Source organism: Homo sapiens, chromosome 11, assembly GCF_000001405.40.
Source record: "Homo sapiens chromosome 11, GRCh38.p14 Primary Assembly".
Taxonomy (NCBI): Eukaryota; Metazoa; Chordata; class Mammalia; order Primates; family Hominidae; genus Homo; species Homo sapiens.
The window spans coordinates 87,666,073-87,689,533 of NC_000011.10; the positions used below are offsets into that span (position 1 = coordinate 87,666,073).

A 23,461-nucleotide genomic window follows, 5' to 3' on the forward strand; every position below is an offset into this window, starting at 1 on the left:
TCCAGGCCATAGGATGGATGCTGGAGGAAGATGAAAGGGGAAAGTCAACTCAGACCCAGGCACTGTTGTAGGAGCAACCACAAACATATAGGAAGATGACTCCAGTGCAAAGGGATGGCCAGGGACACATGGGAAGTACAGAGCTCCCAGGGAAGCTGGAGGAAGCGGCTGACTGAAACATATTTTCACTAGTAGCAGTTGCAGCCCCAGGCAAAATTGTGAGATAAGTTTTTGTTTTTTTTTTAAATCCCTTTCCCTTCCCTCTTTTTCATTTCTTACAAATGCCAGTGCCCTTGTGCTTTTTGTACATTCCCCTGTAACTCAAAGATACTCTGAGGTCCTTTGGGCACATGCCATTTATTTATTAATTAAATCAACAACCATCAAGGGCCTGCTCTGTGCTGGGTATTGGGCACTGTTCTCACCCACCATGTAGGAAACAGCAGTGAATGTGATAAACAGGTTTCTCTGCCTACTTGAAATGTATCCCCCAGGAGAGTGAGATAGAAAATAAACTAATAAAAAAAACCAAATTAAATTGCATGCTAAACATTTTTAAGTAGGAGTAAAGGCCATGCTGAGCATGACTGCAGGATGTTGTAGCATTGAGAGATGAAATGACCACCTCAGACAGAATGGTCAGGAAAGGCCTCTCTGAAGAGGGAACATTTGAGCAAACACCTGAATACAAGGATCCAGGAACCCAGTGTTCTAGAAACAGAAAGTGTATAAGGACTCCGAGGCAGAAGTGAGTTTTGTGTTTGAGGAATAGAAAAAAAGACAATGTGTTACAGAGAGAGGAAGCACAAAGGGATGAAGTTAGAGAGGCAGAGAGTAATTTGAATGTGATAAAGTGCGTGAAAAGCCATTGGAGGGTTCAATGCCCGCAGCAGTGCAGTGTTTCCCCTTTTAGGACATTTGCCTTTATGTATTTTACTTGCTAAACAAAGTGTGCCTGAGTACTTTTTGAATGCTACCGCAGATTCCCGTACAGTGCCAGGCAGATAGCAAATGCTCAGTGAATAGTTGTTCATCGATTGAGCAAGGATCAAACCAAAAACTAAAGCCACAGATGCCTGATGGTAGAATATCAGGCATTTCACCCAAGATAGAATACCTGGGGGGATTGTAGTCCTTCAGGCTTCAGTAGTACAGTAGCCTGTACTACTTCAGATTGTAGTCTCAGGGGGCACACTGTGAACGGCCATTGCCCATGGATCACAAAAGCCTGGCTCTCATTTCCTTTTTCACAGGCCTTAGGCATTCAGCCTTCTCTTTGTTCTCTTTCTAGCTTCCCCCCATCATTTGGGCCCCCCTGTCCCGGCATCCCTGGCTACAGAGTCTCCCCTGCTCCTCGTAATTCTGCTGACCCCATAGAAAGACATAGGCCTGCCTCATTGAATAGTAGAACTATTAAGAACTGAAAGGAAAACAACACAAACAGCAAAGATGGGAACATGTTGTGAGGAGTCTTTCCAAAATGTTTCTTCTCATTTCTCTTGGTAGATTTGGGGAGCCTGTCTTCATTTATTCCTTCTGCAATTGTCCTGGTTACACAAGGGTAATAAACTGGGGAAACCTTCATCTTTTTAATTCAAATGCTATTTTTCATTAAATTGTCCCTGAAGGAGATTGACAAAGGGCTTAGGCTGTTCTTGACCCTGTGTTCTGTAGACTTTGGCTAAATATGCTGCAAAAGCTTGCCTGCCATGTGATTACATGAGAACAATTCATTCTTTCCTTCCTCAAAACCAGAGAAAGCTCAACCTTCCATCTGGATTCTAAACAGTTGTCAAAAATTCACTCTTCAATTCTCCTGTTTTTGTCAGCAGGAAAATGGTGGGAAGTATTGAAGAAATATTAAAAACACAATCTGAACCCAACACAGAAAACCTTTTCACAAAAGTAGAAGATAAATAAAAGTTTTATTATTGAATAAGCATTAGCACAAAAAGTGATGCACACCAGAGGCAATCTGCTGAAGAGATTACAGAGGCAGAAAGAAATCTCACTGTTTTATACAGCCAAATGGGTACAACCATTCCATTTATGTTTTCAAGATAAATTTGCTAATTTTCTCCTATGTTTATAACTGCAGGTAGGTTGTGCGATTAGGAGTCAGTTGACAACTGAAGTTAGGTCTATCTTCTTCCAGAAAAACTGAGACATAGGGCATTTTTCTTGATGATTATATTTCAAAGAGATGGCTCTCATGTCTTTGAAGAAACTTGTCTGAGTTGTAAGATTGGCAAGAACTTTATTTAACATTTGCCTTATAATAGGCATTTGGGATCCTTTTGAGGCCAGTTTTGCTAGGTTAAAGAGTAGGTCCCTTAGACATATTCCAGAATTGGGTGCTAGCTCAAACATGTGACCTTTCTACCTTGCCAGAAGTTCAAAATTTTAGTGCTCTCACAGAGCTCTTACTACAAGTATCCCAGTCAGTCACACACAATCCCTTTTAGAACTATTTCTAGAAAATATATTGAAAAGCAATATTTGCTCAATTTGCTGAAATAAAGATGACAAAATCTCTTTCCTTATCATATCTCTCCTCCAACTTAGGAGAGTAATCCGAGGACAGTTTCTCCCAGGAAGTTTCCTTCTTCCAACTATACAGGACTAAACAGATAAACAGGACTCTGAATCTCAGCTGGGAATCCCTGAGTGCTTGGACTTCCGAGGATGAAGATCTGGATCTGAATCCCAACTCTTCCCTCACCATTAGAATAATAATTAATATGTCGGGGCTTCACTTGTATCATCTGTCAAAGGAGGATAATAATTGTTGTGCCCCTCACATGTTTTCCATCTTTGCCCAGACAATTTCCCTTCTTTGTATGGGTTTCCACTGAATGCTTTCTTTTATAATACTTTACACTTCATTTTAAGCTCATTGTGCCTATAGCTGTTAACTTGCCTGTCTTGCCATACTGTTAGGACAGGGGACTTATTTATTGCTTATTTTTCAGGGCTCCTTATAAATGGGATTTAAAGAACTTGTGAAAGCTTGAATGAATCTGCTTGTTTGTGTGATCATAAGATGGAACATTATACCCAAGTAAAGTTCCTGGCACACATGGTGCCTCCTCTGCCTTTCTTTGGAGCTAAGACCTTTTGAGCTGTGCTTCTTTCCTCTACAAAAACATCTTTGAGCATTTCCTTACCCACCACTGGTGCTCTTATTCCTTAGACTACAAATACCCTAAGATGAAGTAGGTTCTTCCAAAACAGTCATTATTGATTCAAATGCCATTTGCAGCCAGGAAATTAGCCTATCCTCTTCCAGAAGGTTTTCTTTCAGCCAGGAGCTTGAATAAATAGGTTTTCCTGCTTATTTATCTATTAACAAAACAATCAAATTAATATCTTATTTCAGGAACATTTCATTTAGTCAAAATATTAAGTTAGTTTGGAAAAGGAGAAAAAAAAAACACGAGGAAAGAGAGTTTGGGTAAGTTATTTTCTCAGTCTGCAAGCTTTCCCTGGATGGGATTTTTCCATATCACTGGCTTGCTTGGGGCAGTGGAGAGGAAGGCTCAGTGAGGTGATGCTGACACTTGCAAGGCCCAAGAGAACCATATTTCCACCATGAGATTTGCTGTTTGGAAATACAGTTACTGATCATTCTGATATTGTAAATACTGTTTGCTAGCTTCTTCCTGAACTACAGGTAAGTGCACACTTACTTTAAACATTAGTAGGAATATTTAAGAGGTTCTGGTCCCACAGGATGTTCAAGAATTCAAAGGAACAGATGAGCATTTGCATAATCTTCCATGTAGAAGACAGCAGTCAGAGTTAATTTTTAATTTATTTCCCTCCAGAGAAAATATCTCCTGATAACTCTTGATTAGCAGACAATGAGGTTCAGTAAAATCATTTAGAAGTTTGGAGCAAAAAAAAAAAAAAAAAAATCCAAAGTTTCTGATGATAAAGGGAAAGTAAACATCCAAGAAATGACCTTTTTAAAAAAATTCCAAACTTGGGTGAATGAGTGGTATAGAAATACAAGGTTTGCATTGTAGACATCACCAAATAGCGCATTTGAATTTGCGGAACTGTCTCTCCTGCTTTGGTATAACCCTGTTCTACAGCTCATTAAATTAAAAAATGCAAGAATAGGTCTTTAATTACTTGAGAAGATATTGCTGGTGATTTTTTCCTATCTCTAGTTATAGGAATTCTTTCATATTTTAAAAATAGAATAAATTAATCATAAGACTATTCCACGATTTTGGCTGCTGTGCCTGTGCAAATGACTATTTTGGAGAAAAGCAATTAAACTCTAGCCTTTTTCTTTCTTTTAAAAATATTTTTTGTGTGTATATTTGAGATTTACCAACATGATGTTACAGGATACATATAGTCAAATGGTTACTATAGAGAAGCAAATTAACTTATCCATCATCTCACATAGTTACTTTTTGTTGTGGCGAGAACAGCTAAAATCTACTTATTTAACAAAAGTTCCTAATATGATGTGATATTTATTAGCCCTCTTCCTCATGTTGTACATTAAATCTCTAGACTTGTTCATCTAAACAGAGAGAGCAGATAAATCGGTGGTTACCAGGGGTGAGGAAATGAGTGGACAGGAAATGGGAAGATGTAGTTCAAAGGATATCATAGCTTTTATCCTAGAAAATTTCAGTCTCCTATTACCTCACTCCCTATAGAAGAACAAGCCTTGTCAACAGGACCATGCAAATATTAGCAACTAATACTTGCAGAATGTTTTATCATTTAGAATATATATTTATATGCTTATCTTACCTAGCCCTCTCAGCAGCACTGTAAGAAACATATTATTACATATTGAGGGATTAATAATAGTAATGATAATAACAACCAGAAGAAAATAAGAAGATAATAATTTGCCCAAAGTCACATACCCATGGGGAGAGCTGGGCTGTAAACCCCTTCTTAATGTTCTTTCCATTGTGTGTATTTTTTTTAGAGTTAAGGACAAATGGGTGAGACTAATCCAATAGGGAAACTTTCAGAATTCTGAATTTCAGAGTTGTAAGGAAATTTATAGATCACTATCCAAAACTATCTTAGAAAGCTAAAGATAAAAATAATTGCTACATCCACATAGACTGTTAATGGAATAGCCTGGCCTTTAAGCAAAAAGTCCTGTCATCTGATTTCCTGTTGTTTCTTAATATACCGATTCTCCTGCTCCAAATTTATGTGCATAGTAACATGTGGTGCATCTGTATGTGTTTAATATTTATTTATTTATTTATTTATTTATTTATTTATTTTGAGACAGAGTCTCGCTCTGTCGCTCAGGCTGGAGTGCAGTGGCGCGATCTCGGCTCACTGCAAGCTCTGCCTCCTGGGTTTGCACCATTCTCCTGCCTCAACCTCCCGAGTAGCTGAGACTACAGGCGCCCGCCACCGCGCCCGGCTAATTTTCGGTATTTTTAGTAGAGACGGGGTTTCACCGTGTTAGCCAGGATGGTCTCTATCTCCTGACCTCGTGATCCGCCCGCCTCGGCCTCCCAAAGTGTTTAATATTTATTTTTAATCTTGCAGTTGTACTTCTCCATCAGGAATATTCTAGGAAGCCAAAAGGACATTTTCCAATAGAAGAGAAAGCCTAGAAAATTTGCACCTTACCTACTTAGAATGCTACAAACTTAAGTTTTATATTGATACAGACATCATTTTCCTATTTTGGCTAAAGAAATGAGGTGCCTGGGTTCTCAATATATTATACACACACTTTTCTCCTCCATCTTTGTTCCTGCTGCATCACTTCTCAACTTTTTAACTTGATTCTGCTGATGCTTTCAGTATTTTCACATAAATTGTGCTGAGTGTCAGATGTGGGTCAGTGGATATTACTGTAAAAATAATATCTATATGAAAACTCCAATTTGTGGGGTAAACAAACAATGAAATGCTCTCATTTTTTTCCTTTTTTTTGGTGGTTGAGTCAGCTTGTATCCACTCCAGTACTGTCCCTGACCTTTTCCTAGCCAAGTGAATCCATAAATTAGTCAAGGGGGGAACACTGATTTATTGGTAGTGGATATGCTTCACAATCAGTTTGAATTTAGAAGGTGTTGCTGTCCTGTACTGTCACAAAACACACAGTATAAATTATTAAGCTGGGTCCTGCAGAGGTTTGAAAGAGGCATAAGATGAGGCAGTGGTTTCTCCTAAAGGCTGTGGACCCTTGAGGTGCTGAAGAGTGATACAAATCCTTAACATTTTCACAGACCGAAAAAAAAAAAAACAGTAGCCACACATTACAGAATGAATTCAAAATATATGCCTGCAGCTTTCCCCTACCCCAGCCTTTTCAGGTAAGAATTCTTTTATTTCAGGCAGTTGCTAACCCTGGGCCTCTGTGGTGCTGGTCAGAAAAGTGGGTAGAGCTATAGTCTGGAAGGGGGCAATTCAGAGAATGGGTGGAGGAAGGGAGACAGACAGAGACAGTGACAGTGATCCAGGGACAAAGAGAGAAACAGAAAGAGCACCTCAAGCTGAGTTTGGAGCAAGTGCAGGGGAGTTTACACAAGATTATATGTAGAGTTAAGACCACAGCAGGATATGAGGACACAAGCAGGACATGTTTTCTTCGGTGTGGAAAAAACTGAGGGGAATTTTAAGAAAGGCTTGCTGAGTGTTATCAATGACTTCTTTGACTCCACTTATGGAAATTTCATATAATATTTAAATTGTTTACAACATATTTTGGCTTTTTCCAGATATAATACTTATGTTTTGAATCTGGCATTGTTCTTAGATAGGCCACTAAATATATAGGTGATGAAACACCCAATCTGTTTTCAAAAGTATGTAGATACTTTTGAAATTAATAAAATAAAATCCATGTAAAAGTGGTATTAAAATCATCACAGTTTTACATTATTATGTATCTGCTAAATTAATATATAATGTATTTCTATCACGAGGAAAACTCAACAGTTTTTATTTTTAAAAATCTTTTTAAATTTTTATTTTAAGTCCTGGGGTACATGTGCAGGATGTGCAGGTTGGTTACATAGGTAAACGTGTGCCATGGTGGTTTGCTGCACCTATCAATCCATCATCTAGGTATTAAGCCCAACATACATTTGCTATTTTTCCTAATGCTCTCCCTCCCTCCATCACAACCTCTGACAGGCCCCAGTGTGTGTTCCCCTCCCTGTGTCCATGTGTTCTCATTGTTCAGCTCCCACTTATAAGTGAGAACATGTGGTGTTTGGTTTTCTATTCCTGTATTAGTTTGCTAAGGATAATGGCTTCCAGCTTCATTTATGTCCCTGCAAAGGATGTGATCTCTTTCCTTTTTATGGCTGCATAGTAGTCCATGGTGTATCTGTAACACATTTTCTTTATTCAGTCTATCATTAATGGGCATCTGGGTGGATTCCATGTCTTTGCTATTGTGAATAGTGCTGCTATGAGCTTACGTGTGCATGTATCTTTGTAATAGATGATTTATATTCCTTTGGGCATGTATATACCCAGTAATTGGATTGCTGGGTCAAATGTTATTTCTGGTTCTAGATCTTTGAGGAATCATCACACGGTCTTCCACAATGGTTGAACTAATTTACATTCCCACTAACAGTGTAAAAGTGTTCTTATTTCTCTGCAACCTTGCCAGCATCTGTTGCTTCTTGACTTTTTAATAATTGCAATTTTGACTGGCATGAGATGGTATCTCATTGTGGCTTTGGTTTGCATTTCTCTGATGATCATTAATGTTGAGCTTTTTTTTCATATGTTTGTTGGCCGCATGAATGTCTTCTTTTGAGAAGTGTCTGTTTATGTCCTTAGCTCAGTTTTTAATGGGGTCGTTTTTTTTTTTTCTTGTAAATTTGTTTAAGTTCTTTGTAGATTCTGGATATCAGACCTTTGTCAGATGGATAGATTGTGAAAATTTTCTCCTGCTCTGTAGGTTACCTACAGAGTGGCAGAAAATGATGATAGTTTTTTTTTTTTTTTTTTTTTTTTTGCTGTGCAGAGGTTTTTATTTATGTTTGAAAAGAGCCCTCATACTCAAAAAGGGCTAAAAGCAACTGTGATATTGATTATGAAAAAAGTCTGTAAATCTGCAAAGCCCTGTGTAAATGCAAAGGCTTCTTACTATCAGTCTTGACAACATGAGGCTTGCTTAGAGTAAATTCAAGTGACAGGATCTGTACTTAAGAAAAGTGGTCTCATTAATCCTAGAAAGCAAACAATAATTACGGAATGGGAATAGAGTCCTAAGGAAGGAAACAATATTTCTGTGAGAGGTGGTCAGGGCTGCCTTTGGAGAGGATATGAACATGGAGTTTGGTCTTCAAGTATGTGGCAGACAAAGTGGGGCAGTCTAGGAAGACAGGTGTGAGCAAAGGTGGAGAAATTTACACAGAAGGAGCATCGTTATTGCCATTTGGGTTACTTGTGCCTGAATAAAGATGCAACATCCTCAGCAGAAGTGATTGTCATAATGAGACCAACGTGGGTCTTTGCTCCTGAAAAATTGCAGCTCTCTGAAGTATAGCTTGGAGTTTTGGTGAGGATTGGAATAACTGGAACTCATTCACTTCTTGGAGAAGGCGTGAGTTGGTGAAATCACTGAAATACTCATCTGGTCATATCTAGTAAAGTGTAAACTATTCAGGTCTTGTGCTGTGTAATTCCACCCCACCTTTTCAAGAGGACATGTACAAAAATGTTTGTTGTATTGATGGTAATACTGAAAAGCTGGAAACAATTACAATGCCCATCAACAAGGAGACGAATATGTAAATTGCATTATCCTTTTTCAGTGGAATATATGCAACAGTTAATGAACAAAAGTTACTCATCAGCATGATTAATTAAATTTCAGGAACACAATGTGCAATTAAAAAAGCAAATGCAAAATGACATATACAATATGAGGCTATTTCTATAAAGTTTGAAAGTGTGGAAACAGGGCAACATTGTTTATAGAGGTAAACCTAGAAAGTCAGGGTCTAAAAGCATGCAAGTGCTTGAAACACAGCAACTTCTTTATTTTACTTTTTTTTCTTTTGAGACGGAATCTTGCTCTGTCGCCCAGGCTGGAGGGCAGTGGTGCGATCTCGGCTCACTGCAAGCTCCGCCTCCCGAGTTCACGCCATTCTCCTGCCTCAGCCTCCCGAGTAGCTGGGACTACAGGCGCCCGCCACCACGCCCAGCTAATTTTTTGCATTTTTAGTAGAGACGGGGTTTCACCGTGTTAGCCAGGATGGTCTCTATCTCCTGACCTCATGATCCGCCCGCCTCGGGAAACAGAGCAACTTCTCCAGGGACAGTAGGAATGAGATCAGGAAGGAATACCAAAAAAACTATTCTTTAAAAAAGTCTACTGCAGGTATGTGAATTTGATATATGGATTTTCTATACGTTTATGTATAGCTTAAGTAATTTGCATACAAAGTTAGAAAGTAAATAATATCAAATGATTATTAAAAATAAGTGGTCTTTTGTTTCTCAGTTTCACACATCTTTGTTTCTATTCCCTAGAGGCAACTGTGCTGAAATTATTTTGGTATTTGTGTCCATATTTTTAGATAACATGCTTTTACTACTTTTTTTTTTTTTTAATAAGTTTAGACATTGCCTATTGTCATCCTAACTTTAGCCTCCAAGAGCAGCCTCCCACCCCATGTCTGCTCTCCCCATCCTTTTAAAATAGATCTCGCAATTTGGGATTAAATAAATATTGTGTTTGCTTTATTATGACCATATAAATATGTTTTATGGCTGAGTCCAGTACTATTTCTTGTGGAATACTATCTTTTTATTTCCCTATTTTTTATTTTCCCTGTAGTTACTCATTGCATTACGTTTTCATTTACTGATTTTCTATATACCTATTGGTAATTTTCTCAGGTTTATAGAATGCCTGTTCAGAATTTTTTTTTTAAATGCTCTGACAGACAAAATAATCAGTTTCTTTATTTCCCTGGAGAGCCCCTCCTGCAAATCTATATCTTCCTGCTCCCATACAACTTACTGCCTCTTTAAGTCTGGTTTGTACTTCTCTTACGGGGGCCTTCCTCTGCCAAAAGTTTGTATTAGAACTTTTGTTTCCTGGATTCTCTGCCTTCCTTCCTCTATAATTATACTCCTGATTTGGTAGAACAAATCTTTAATAGCTTCCTGAGAAAAGACACTTTGGAAGTAAAATTGCTGAGATCTTAGTCATTTGATTGATAGGTTGGCTGGATAGAGAATTCTAGTGGGAAATCATTTCCCTTTGAGTTTTTGAACTCATAGCTCAATAATATTAAAGTTTCCATGTTTATTGCTGAAATATCTGTTGCAATTTTGATTTCTGATTTGTATCAGTATGAATTGTTTTTCTCTTCTGAAAGTTTTTAGGATCTGTTCCTTAGCCTTGGAGCTCTGAACTTTCTTAGTGATGTGAGTTAATGGGAACACTTTTCCTTTATGTGTTGGGTGCTTTGGAACTCCTTCTGTTGTAGACAAGGAAAACTTTCTTGTATTAATTTTTTTTGATAAGTTTTTTTTCTTCATTTTTCTTGCCTTACTTTCTGGAACTCCTGTTGTTTGGATATTGGACAGCCTGGATAAATGCTCTGATTTTCTTTTTATTTCTATTGTAAATTACTTTTAATTTTTTATATATTTAGTTTTTTATAAATTATTTTATATATATATTTTTTTCTATTGTATATTACTTTTACTTTTTTCTATTGTATACTACCTTTACTTGTTTCTTCCAGGAGATTGTCTCAATTTTAATCTTCCAATGCTTTTGTTGAATTGTTATTTCTAATATTATTATTATCATTTTAGTTCCATGAGGTGTCTTTTGTTCTCTGACAATTGTGGTATCTTTTACTTGAGGTAAAAGATGTAGTGTCTTATATCTCTGAGGAAAGCAATTTTTTCCATTCTTCCCATATTATTTTCTTTTCCTATGATTTCACTATATTTTTCTTTTTTCCATTTAATTTTCATTTTAATGACTGCTGGTATCAGTGTTAATGTTTCTATTTTAGTGTGAGGTGTTCAAAGGCTAACAGTTCTCTGATGGAAGACTTGTTAACCAGTAGGCTTCACAAATGCAATGGTTGGATAGCAAGGCAGCCAGCTCAGTTGGAGGTCCCCAAATATAACTCTCTAGAGATCTTTTCCTTGGGATTGCACAGTTTCTGCACTCTCTTGCTTAGATGATATAGTCTGGTTTCAAACACCTGGGATGAGGACATTGGAGGGGGCAATGTGTAGACTCTCATTTAATCCTCTGTTTCAGTCCATTGCTTCTTGCTTATGCCTGCAAGTCGAGTCACTGTGGTCCAGTTTCTCTGGACCCTAAGACCTGTTCCCCTTCTTGGTCTGGGATACTTATGTGCCTAGCTGAGTAAAGGTAGGAAGGGGTCCTATGTGTCTTGTTTTTAGGTTTATGCCCTACCACAGGCCTTTGTTGGGATTTCTGGAGGGAAGGAGAGATCAATTCACATGTTGAATAGTAGATGTGAGTAGGGGTAGAGCAAGTTACCTAACCTCTCTTTTCCTCACTTTCCTCATCTGCAGGATAGGAGTAATAATGGTACCTGCCTCATAGAGTTATTGTGAGCATTAAATTAGTTATTACGTGTAAAGTGCTTATAACAGTGTTAGACTATGGAGAGTTCTCAGTAAGTGTTCCCCATTGTTATTTATTAATATTACTGTTCAGAATGCCAACAACTTTCTACTTGGCTTTTTGTACCTCTCTTGATTAAAAAATACAAAACAAAACAATACACTTTGGATCAGAGCACTGAGCAAGAAACTAGAACCATGTAAGACACAGAGTAGGTTCTCAATAAATGTTTCCTAATTTTTAATGTGTCCTTATTTTCTTTCCCCAAGTAGATTCCAAGCACCTCTGTATACCCTGAAGTTCTGATTTAGTGCTTATACGTACTAGCTATTCTCACAAGTATATGGGTTGAACCAAACTGAATTTGTAGTGGGACTTCTTTTAGAAAACAGAGATATACTACAAATCTTGATTTAAATGTCAATAAATTCAGTTAAAATATATAATTATTGACCAAAATTTTAGCAGTGGTTCTTCAAGATAAAAATATTTTGAAGGATCTTTTCTTTTTATTACTTTTTCCCCCTTCTGTGAATGCCATAAAAGAGTTCAGTGAGCAAATATTGCATTGTGTATGCTGTGGTTCTTCAGGTTTCATGCATTTCTTGAATGCATAAAACGTAATGAATTTGTTTTAGTGGTGCCTGCTCATCAGGATGCTGAATTTTCTTTCTTATATTTAACCTCCCTAGCAAATTTGAGTCTGTGACAATGTCAGAATGTTTAAGTTTTCCCGATTTGAGATATTAAGTGAGAATTCATTCTTCACTTATTCTTAGGAAATGGATACTGTTTTCAATCCTGGCTCAGTACCTAGAAAGATGGTTATTTTGTTTTGAGTGTTTTGCAGACTAAGCCATGTAGGTATGTACGTAGAACTCAGCACTGGTAGGTAGCTTGATGCAGCCCAGGGGCAAGGTAGATCCTACTTTGAAGACTCCTACCGGGAACCCTGTGACATAAGATTAGACAGCTCAAGGATATGGGCTCTGTAGTCTCAAGAACCCACAAAGGAATGGAATCTGAGACTGTGTGCCAGTGCATGTGGGGGTCTCCCTAGGGGAATCAGGGAAAGATCCTGGACTGAACACCATGCATGATTTGCATTTTGCTTTCTCATTCCCATGTATGTAAAACATAAATCGAGAAATATAATTATATTTCTATAGTCAATTTCAAAACATTTGGACAAACTTGCACAGATAACTTTTCTCCCCTCAGCCCCCTGTTATCTTGTGGAACTGTATTTGGAGGTTATTTTAAATTACTTTAGGACATAATGTTCTTGTCTTGACTGCTTTTCAGGTCAAGTAAGGTTCAGGGCAGCTCAACTGATACTGCGAGGGCTCATATTTGGGAGAGAATTAAAGATTCTAGAGGCTAAATTTATTTAAATATCTCAATCCAGTCCTTATCCCACCATCACTTGAAAGTTTTACCAAGCTATGTGTTCTCTGCTTTGTGGATGCTCTGTTTCTGTGCTTAAATCTGCCTGAGCAAACTGTCTGCATGAAATGAGAAACCAAGCCATCCTAGATAATTTTGGAACATATCTTTACGTGAATCCCCCTTTCTTCTACTCTAAGAGTACCTTTTGGCATGGAGCAAATAAATCTTGAAATTATTTAAAACATTGATCATTAGACTCTTTGGTCTAGGCAAGCCCATTCTTAGTTTAATAAAATAACTTAGGCTGATTTTACGTTAGAGGAGCTTAATTTTTCTCACAAGTCCATAACACTTACCCACCCTGAATCGTAAACACTAGAAACTTCTTTCTTTGGCTTTGAGTTTCTGGAACCAATCTTGACTTTAGGACATGGTATCTGCTTTGTAGAGAGCTGGCAAAGAGTTAATGTGCTTGTAATTTTCTGGGCCTTTCCCTGGTGACTTGGCTGGCAACTTCAAGAAAGTAAACTAAAAACCTGAACAATGAAGCTAAATGGACGAACTCACAAAGTTATAAATGTTTATAGATGTTGGCAGTTATGCAAATGTTTGACACATACTTTTTCTACAATAGACATAAACAATAAGTCATGCCACTTCTAAAAAGCCATGCTTCCATATGACACTAACAATGGGGTGGAGATGGCACACAAGAAGACACTTCTATCCATCATGAAGGCAACTGACTATAAGTGGCAGAGCTCATATGCCCAAAGGGAAGGCTGGCCTACTTTATTTTTGCTGAGAGTGAAAGATTATTACCTTTTGCAGATGCAAGTTTGAAGGGAGTAATAGACCTAGTTATGGAGGCAGAGGCAACATTTCCCAACCTCAGTAAAGGACAAAGCCAAATGTACCCTCATTTATTTTCTGACTTTGCTTTCTCCAATGATTAGATGTCCTTAAAATTACAAATTAACTTAATAGTCTTAAACGAAGTTAAGAATTACTGGCATGCGAGACTTACATATATTTTCTTATCATCTAAAGGAGTTGAGCACTCCATGTTAAGTACAAACTACTAAAAAATAAGAGAATTATCCAAACAATATAATGTCTAAGGGGGAATATCCACTGCATTTCAGATTAAAATTGAGGTCTGTGCAACCAATTTATAGGCCTGCAATATTTTAGAGTCCCTTTCAATGCTAAGTAATTCCCCACTCTCTAGAATATCTGAACTTTCTTCTTATTTACCATGTTTTCAGTAAGAAGTACTTTATTCTTCATGCTTCAAAAAATCATTGATGGTTATGGAAAAAAAAGACATTCTTTGGATTTCTATTGATGAGAAGTTTAATCTGTAACTCAAACAAAGGCAAGCCACATTGTTCTTCCTCTGAAAAGGTTTTTTAATGCCAATGTCCAAAGATTACTCAGTGATTCCGTGGGCACTCCAAGCACTAGAAGCATATGTACATCCGCTCAATATCCCTAATCAATGTGACACTTGAATTAAGCTAATTTATTCAGTGCAAACTTGACCTTGAATTGTAGAGTACTGTTTTAAAGTTATATTAAGGAACTTTACCTACTAGGAAGAATTCTAATTAGTGTATGATGAGAAAAGGCACTTAATTTGGCTCATCGACTTGTCATTGTTCAGAAAATGATGACATTGTTTGGAAGTCACATAGAGGGTTTCACACTAAATACTCATTTGGATAAATGGATAACCAGGTATACTTTGCAGTGGAAGTATTGAGGGCTGAAATTCCTAGTTGTCTTGCTCATCCATGAATGAAATTAAACAATGCTGAAGATTTAAATGCACCCTATACTTGAAAGCACATCTCTGATAGAAGTCCAAATTATTTCCATTTTTTTTCCTCTGTCATCTGGACATTTGCCTGCCATAAGCAGCTATTTAAAAAGAAGTCCAATAGTCTCACTGTTAATTTTCATCCATCCATCTATATATTCAAAAACATTTATTTAGAATCTACCAATGGCTTGGTGGGGTTTGGTGTTTGAAACATAGAAGTTAATAGGGCATACTTCTGTTTTCTAGAGGCTCTTAGACTGACATATAAACAGGAAATTAAAATGTAGTGTTGCAACTGGGATGACAGGTAAGCCACAGTTCTCAGTGCATCCCAAATGAGGTAAAGTAGTGTATCCAAGGTTATTACAAATATCTCATTTATTGCATTTTTTATAATTGTAAAGCTATGCTTATTATAGAATATAATGTAAATATAAGAACACATTGGCACTATTGTAACTATAGATAACTTATGCAAATTCAACTGTCTATTTTTAACATTCCTATTAATAGTCACAGATATTTTCTTTGACTTCTAATCTAAGGAGGGAGAAGAAAGACCCTCTTCAAAGAGTCCCACTTGCAACACTCATGACTCTTCTTCAGAGTTCTTGTTACTAAGACAATTCCACATTAGTCTGTGAGATTATTTGATTAATGTTTGTCCCCACACTATGTTATAAACTCTTATCAGGTCGGAGACCTAGTCTCTTTCTAATTCATTTTTGCATCGAGAGCACCTTGCAGAATGCTCTTCTCACAGCAGATACTTAATACATTTTTGTTGGATGGATGGATGGATGGATGGGTAAATGAAAGGATGAATACAGAAAAACTGGAATACTAGGAGGTAGAACTCTCTTGCAGAAGTGATGTGGCCTGGATAGGGAATGACATTGGGGCTACAGAAATAAGAGATAGGAAAGTAAAGCAGGACTTGCTTTTGATGAAGTTTCTGAAGTGAGGGAGAAAAAGGTGACAAGGATGACACCCAGATATATGGTCTCAAGAATGGTAATGCCCTTCCTTGAGACAGACTGATAAATTGTATCCTAGTACAATAAAAGGACTTACAGAGGTAAAGAGCAATGGTCAGTAACTGGCAAGAAATGAAAGAGAATGAGAAAGGCTCTAAAACATGGGGATCAGATGTGTTCCGAAGAGCCTTCAGGAGAATTACTAAGAAACTGCACCTTGATTTAGTGAGGCATTTAGCAAATCCATTTGTATTAGTTTCCTATGATTGTTATAACAAATTTCCAGAAACTTAGTGGCTTAAAACAACAACTCTTTCCAACGTTCTAGAGGCTAGAAGTCTGAAATCAAGGTGTTGGCAGGACCACACTCACTCTGATGGCTCTAAGAAAGAATACTTCCTTACCTCTTCCCGCTCCTGGTGCCTCCTGGTATTCCTTGATCATGGCAGAATAATTCCAGTCTTTGCTTCCATCTTTATATACAGATAATCTTTGACTTAAAATGAAATTACTTTAAAATAATCTCATTACAAATGGAAAATATTGTCAGTTAGAATGCATTTTATACATTTAACCTACTGAATATCATAGCTTAGTCTTGCCTACCTTAAATGTGCTCAGAGTACTTATGGTGGCCTACAGTTGGGCAAAATAATCTATCAAAAACATGTATTATAGTAAAGTATTGAATGTTTCATGTAATTTGTTGAATACCATTCTGAAAGTGAAAAACAGAGTGGTTGTATGGGTACACAAAGTACAATTTCTACTGAATGTGTATTGCTTTTCCATCCCTGTAAACTTGAAAACTTGTTAAGTTGAACCATTTTGAGTCGGAGACCATCTGTAAAGTCTCCTTTTATTGCTGTGTCATCTTCTTATAAGGACACCAGTCATTGGATTTTGTGCCGATCCTAATTCAGTATGACTTTATTTTAACATAATTACATCTGCAAAGACCCTATTTCCAAATAAGGTCACATTCAGAGGTTTTGGGTCGAAATGAATTTTTTGGGGGGGACCTTGTTGAACCCACTATACTATTTACCATATTCTTGTGAACAAGATGGAAAAGTATGAGCTGAATGAAAAGCTTTACCAAAAGTTTTGACTGATGGATGCGTGTCAGGTGTTTTGTAATGAAATTTTGAAGAGCTTTTGGACCACTATTGTACATATTTCATCTTTGACTTGGATGTGGAGAAATAATTCATACAGCAGAAAGTAAGGAAACCCCTTTAGAGTCCTGACTCAGCCAGTTACTGGCTATGTGGCTTGAGCAAGACACACATCCATGTTTCAGACTAGGTAATTCTAAATCTCTGGGTTCAACTACCAAGTGATTCTGACTTAAATGTAAGATACTTCCTTTTAACTACATAGTTGAATTAATAAACAGAGTAAGTTGTGAGGGGCCAAAAATGAAGAGGGAAGTTCATAGAGGTTTAACATGTGAACTTAGGAGTCCAAGATATGACTGACTGGGGATTGAGTGAAACAGGTATCAGTCTTGGTAACTGGAGGGCTTGGAGACAAGATGAGGTACTGTGAGGCAGAGCATTGGAACTGAGTCCTTTCCCTAGCCACACACATCTCAGGCCGTCAGAGCTATTACACCTTAAGTAAAAAGATGGATCAAAAAAATCTCCCAACAGGGAAGCTGGTCTCATACCCTTAGGGAGCCCACTCCTCTGTACATATCATTCAGCCCCCACACAGCAGAGTGTAGCATGAAGGATTCAGCATGGCTCAATGCTGGAGTAGAAGTGTGACTTCTCTCACCTAAGTCTCTGGTGAGAAAGAAACCTTCCTCTGAATTCACAATAATGACCCTTAATCTTTTACAGATTTGGAATGATCTGAGAGACTGACACAAAAATGGTGAGTGATTTCTCCGAGCTACCTAGAAGAAGCAATGTAAAAACCATTCTGGAGTGACACTATTTCAACACAGGCTGTAAAAAAGACCCTGATATAAAGTCTTAGTGAAAATAAACTCATAATAAAAAATGTAAAGCTCCCCCCAAAACAATCTACTATGAACAAGAATTAATAGGCAAACATACACATACAAATGGCAGTATTAGATTCCTAAACCCTTTAGATAATGACACAATGCAATGGAAGCTATAAAATATGTATTTTATAAATAGTGTTTTTATTTAAAAACAATATTAGATTTACAAAAAAATTGTAACTATAGTACAGAGAGTTTATCTAAACCCACACTCAGTTTCTTCTATTATTAACAATTTGCTATAATTAATGAACCAATCTGTCTATATTATTACTATTAGCATTATTAAGTAAAGTTGATACTTTGTTCAGATTTTCTTAGTTTTTACCTAATGTCTTTTTGTGTTCGAGGATCTCACCCAAGATACCACATTACATTTGGTTGTCATATCTCCTTAACCTCCTCTTGGCTGTGACAGTTTCTCAGGCTTTCCTTGTTTTTGATGACCTTGACAGGTTTTTAGATATACCGGTCAGGTATTTTATAGAATGTCCCTAGGATTTGTCAGATGTTTGTCTCATGATTAGATTGGGCTCATGTTTTTGGGGAGAACACTACAGAGGTAAAGTACATTTTCATCACATCATACCAGGGGCACATATTATCGTCAACATCACTTATCAGTATTAATATTGACATTAATCACTGGGCTGAAGTAATGTTTGTCAGATTTGTACAACCTTTTTTTTTTTTTTACCCTTTTCATACTGTACTCCCTGAAGCACACCTGTATGCACAGACTGCATTAAGGAGTGGGAAGGTATATTCCACTTCCCTTAGGACAGAGTATCTATAAAAACATGTTGAGTTCATCTGCATGGAAAAATATGCCTGTTCTCCATTTATTTATTTAATCATTTATTCATATCAGCAACAATACATGGATATTTAATTTATACGATAGATTACTAACCAGTACTGCTTTATTAATTTTGTTGCTGAAATTGTTCTAGCTTAGGCAATCAAAAGCTTTTTCAGCTGGCTTCTGTGTCTCTTTCTCGTGCCCTCATCATGTAGTTTTATTTGTTTTAATTTTTCTTAGCATATTTTTACTTTTTGGCATTGCAAGATGCTCCAGGCTTATCTTGTACATTTTCTGCTCTAGTTCTAAAATCACTCATTTCTCCAAGGGGCCATGGTTCTTTCTATTACAAATGGCATTAGAAACCAAGATCTTGGCACTAGGTGTGCTCATTGCTACATGGTTATTATTGCTTCTTGTTCTTTCAGCTGACAGAGAAAAGAAATATATGTATCCACACTTACCCATGTATATAAATATTAATATAGATATTTACATATGTAACATCTATATTTATATTATCCTAAGCATGAGTTTATACTAATGTCTACAACTCTAGTCCATTACCATATAGATCATTCTAGCCACCTCCTTTTGTTTGTAAGTAATTTCCATCTTCAACAATAAGAAACCTGGCTCCCACTATCCACCATCTTTAATCTTTCAATATATGGTGATATCAGAATTGTTAGCTATGGGAAACAACTTTATCAAATAAAGTACAGTGCTTACATAGGTTCTAGTAAAATACATATTGTTAAGAGATTGCATAAATAAATGACATTAAATATAGTAAATGAACCCATTGAGTGGGCTAAAATGCATATTAAACTCAGAGAATTGGAATTTAAAAAACTGATCTCAGCAAATTTCTCAGAACATGTCTATCAGGGAGAAAGAAATGGAAAATGAAAGAAGATACATGACATCAAGGATAGAATAAGAAGGCTCAATATTTGTTTAATAGGGATTTCAGAAATAGAATAAAGTGAGAATGGGAAAGAAGAAATATTTTAAATCATGGTAAAGACTTTGTCCAGAATTTATAAAATAGGTGAATTCTCAGAAAATATAAGAAAAATTTCCAAGCAAAAGTCAGAGAAAGATATCCTCACCTTGATGTATATTGTCAAACTGACAAATACTGACAAATCCTAAATGCAATCCGAGAAAGATTGATTACCTAAGAAAGAATTAAAGTTTGTTTGTCAGCCAGCTTTTTCAACAGCAGTGTTAGAAATTAAGACTGCAAAAGATTTTCTATGTGCTGAGATAAATAACCATCAGCCTAAAACTCTACACTTTAAGTGCAAGGTCAAAATAAACACATTTTCAGATAAACACAAACTGAATTAGTTTACCACTAATAGATACTCACTGGAAATGATTCTACAGAGTTTACTTCATGTGATAAATTTACAAAAATGCATACTTTTCCTCTTTCAGGAAGGAGAAAATTAAACCCAAAATGAAAAATTGTGAAGCAAAAATATTGACAAACATGGAAATTTATAAAATAAGCATTAACTGTTTAAACAATATTAATAATGAATAAAGTTTAGAATAAGTAAGTTATAAAACATTAAACTACTGGATAACAATAAGCTGTAAGGTGGAGGGTGATTGTGGTAAAGCATTCTAAGAATCTTAAATTTAGGGGAAGTGAATTTGATTTTTTTAAAGTTGAGAATACATGTTAAACAGAAAAATAGATTATCTAACTTTCAAACAATGAGAGGACAAAAGAGGAATAAAATACATGTGATCAATAAAACAGATGAATAAGAAATAATAAGTAAAAAGGCACAAAATAAAAACCTAGAATTAAATCCAAGTACACAATGATAATACTATGATTAATCATACTTAAAATACCAATTAAAAGACATGCAGACCTTTCAGCAGAATCCCTACAAGCCAGAAGAGATTGGGGGCCAATTTTCAACATTCTTAAAAGAATTTTTAACCTAGAATTTCATATCTGGCCAAACTAAGCTTCATAAGTGAAGAAGAAATAAAATCTTTTTCAGATAAGCAAATGCTAAGGGAATTTGTAATCTCCAGGCCTTGCAAGAGCTCCTGAAGGAAGCACTAAATGTGGAAAAGAAAAAACTGTTACCAGCCACTACAAAAAACACACTGAAATATACAGATCAGTGACACTATGAAGCAAATTCATAAACAAGTCTGCAAAATAACCAACTAGCATCACGATGTCAGGATCAAATTCACACATAACAATATTAACCTTAAACGTAAATGGGCTAAATGCCCCAAGTAAAAGACACAGAGTGGCAAGCTAGATAAAGAGTCAAAATCCATTGGTGTACTGTATTCAAGAGACCTATCTCACATGCAAGGACACACATAAGATCAAAATAAAAGGATGAAGGAAATTTTACCAAGCAAATTTAAAACAGAAAAAAGTAGGGGTTGTAATCCTAGTTTCTGACAAGATAGACTTTTATTGGGAATAGGCCCCCAAAATCTGGCCGTAAACTGGCCCCCAAACTGGCCATAAACAAAATCTCTGCAGCACGGTGACATGTTCATGATGGCCATGACGCCCACACTGGAAGGTTGTGGGTTTGCCAGAATGAGGGCAAGGAACACCTGACCCACCCAGGGAGGAAGACTGCTTAAAGGCATTCTTAAACCACAAACAAAAGCATGAGCGATCTGTGCCTTAAGGACATGCTCCTGCTGCGGATAACTAGTCAAACCCATCTCTTTATTTCGGCCCATCCTTTTGTTTCCCGTAAGGAATACTTTTAGTTATACTTTTAGTTAATCTGTAATCTATAGAAACAATGCTTATCATTGGTTTGCTGTCAACAAATATGTGGGTAAATCTCTGTTCGAGGCTCTCAGCTCTGAAGGCTGTGAGACCCCTGATTTCCCACTCCACACCTAAATATTTCTGTGTGTGTGTCTTTAATTCCTCTAGTGCCACCAGGTCAGGGTCTTCTTGACCGAGCTTGTGTTGGTGGACTTTAAATCAACAAAGATAAAAAAAGACAAAGAAAGGCATTACATATTGGTAAAAGGGTCTATTCAACAAGAAGAGCTAACTATCCTAAATATATATGCATCCAATACAGGAGCACCCAGATTCATAAAACAAGTTCTTAATGACCTAAAAAGAGGCTTATACTCCCACACAATAATAGTGAGAGATTTTAACACCCCACTGTCAATATTAGATCATTGAGACAGAAAATTAACAAAGATATACAGGACTTGAACTCAGCTCTGGACCAAGCTGATCCAACAGATACCTACAGATCTTTCCACCCCCAAACAACAGAATATACATTCTTCTCAGTGCCACATGGCACTTACGCTAAAACTGATTACATAATTGGAAGTAAATCAGCCCTCAGCAAATGCAAAAGAACTGAAATCATAACAGTTTCTCAGACCACAGCACAATCAAATTAGAACTCAAGAGTAAGAAACTCACTCAAAATTACACAAATACATAGAAATTGATGAAAGTGACCCTGGGTAAATCATGAAATTAAGAGAGAAATAAGAAGTTCCTTGAAACCAGTGAAAACAGGCAGGGTACCAGAAACTCTGGGATGCAGCTAAAGTGGTGTTAAGAGCAAATTTGACAGCACTAAAATGCCCAAATTAAAAAGCTCGCAAGATCTCAAATTGACATCCCAGCATGACAACTAAAAGAACTAGAGAACCAAGAGCAAGCAAACCCCAAAGCTACAGAAGACAAGAAATAACCAAGATCAGAGCAGAACTGAAGGAGATAGAGACACAAAAAACCTTTCAAATAGCAATCCAAGAGCTGGTTTTTTGAAAAAATTAATAAAAAAGATGGACTGCTAGCTAGACTAATAAGAAAAGAGAGAAAAATAGGCAAAAATGGTCAAGGGGATATCACCACTGACTGCCCAGAATTACAAACAACCATCAGAGAATACTTTAAACAGGTCTATGCAAAAATAAACTAGAAAATCTAGAAGAAATGAATCCATCCTGGACACATACATCCCCCCAAGACTGAACCAGGAAGAAGTTAAATCCCCGAATAGACCAATGACAGCTTCTGAAATGGAGGCAGTAATAAATAGCCTACCAGCCAAAAAAAGCCCAGGACCAGATGGATTTACAACTGAATTCTACCAGAAATACAAAGAGAAGCTGATACCATTTCTTCTGAAACTATTTCAAACAATTGAAAAGGAGGGACTCCTCCCTAACTATGAGGACAGTATCATCTTGATACCAAAACCAGGCAGAGATACAACAACAACAAAAAAGAAAACTTGAGGCCAATATTCCTGATGAACATCAATGCAAAAATTCTCACTGGCAAACCAAATCCAGCTGCACATCAAAAAGCTTATCCACCACTATCAAGTTGGCTTCATTCCTGGGATGCAAAGCTGGTTCAGCATACGTAAATCAATAAACGTAATTCATCACCTAAACAGAACCAAAGACAAAAACCACATGATTATCTCAATAGATGCAGAAAAGGTCTTTGATAAAATTCAACATCACTTCATGTTAAAAACTCCCAACAAATTAGGTATTGAAGGAACATACCTCAAAATAATAAGAGACATCTATGACAAACCCACAGCCAATATCATACTGAATGGGCAAAAGCTAGAAGCAATCCCCTTGAAAACTGGCATAAGACAAGAATGCCCTCTCTCACCACTCCTATTCAACATAGTATTGGAAGTTCTGGACAGGACAATCAGGCAAGAGGAAGAAATTAAAGGTATTCAAATAGGAAGGGAGGAAGTCAAATGTCTTTTTTCGCAGATGATATGATTCTATATCTAGAAAGCCCCAGCATCTCAGCCCAAAAGCTTCTTAAGCTGAT

General features: G+C 36.8%; 1 long non-coding RNA gene across 3 annotated transcripts in view; it reads left to right on the forward strand.

The window, feature by feature from the left end:
- LOC107984361 (uncharacterized) overlaps positions 1-23,461 on the forward strand; it is a 552,293-nt gene that overhangs the window by 306,320 nt on the left and 222,512 nt on the right. Inside the window, exon 4 of one of the 3 annotated variants that reach the window (XR_001748316.2) lies at positions 17,635-18,471. The exons of the other annotated variants lie outside the window; for them this stretch is intronic. This is a non-coding gene — a long non-coding RNA (uncharacterized LOC107984361). Of the gene's footprint in view, positions 1-17,634; positions 18,472-23,461 lie in introns of those variants that run through there. 3 annotated transcript variants of the gene reach the window in all.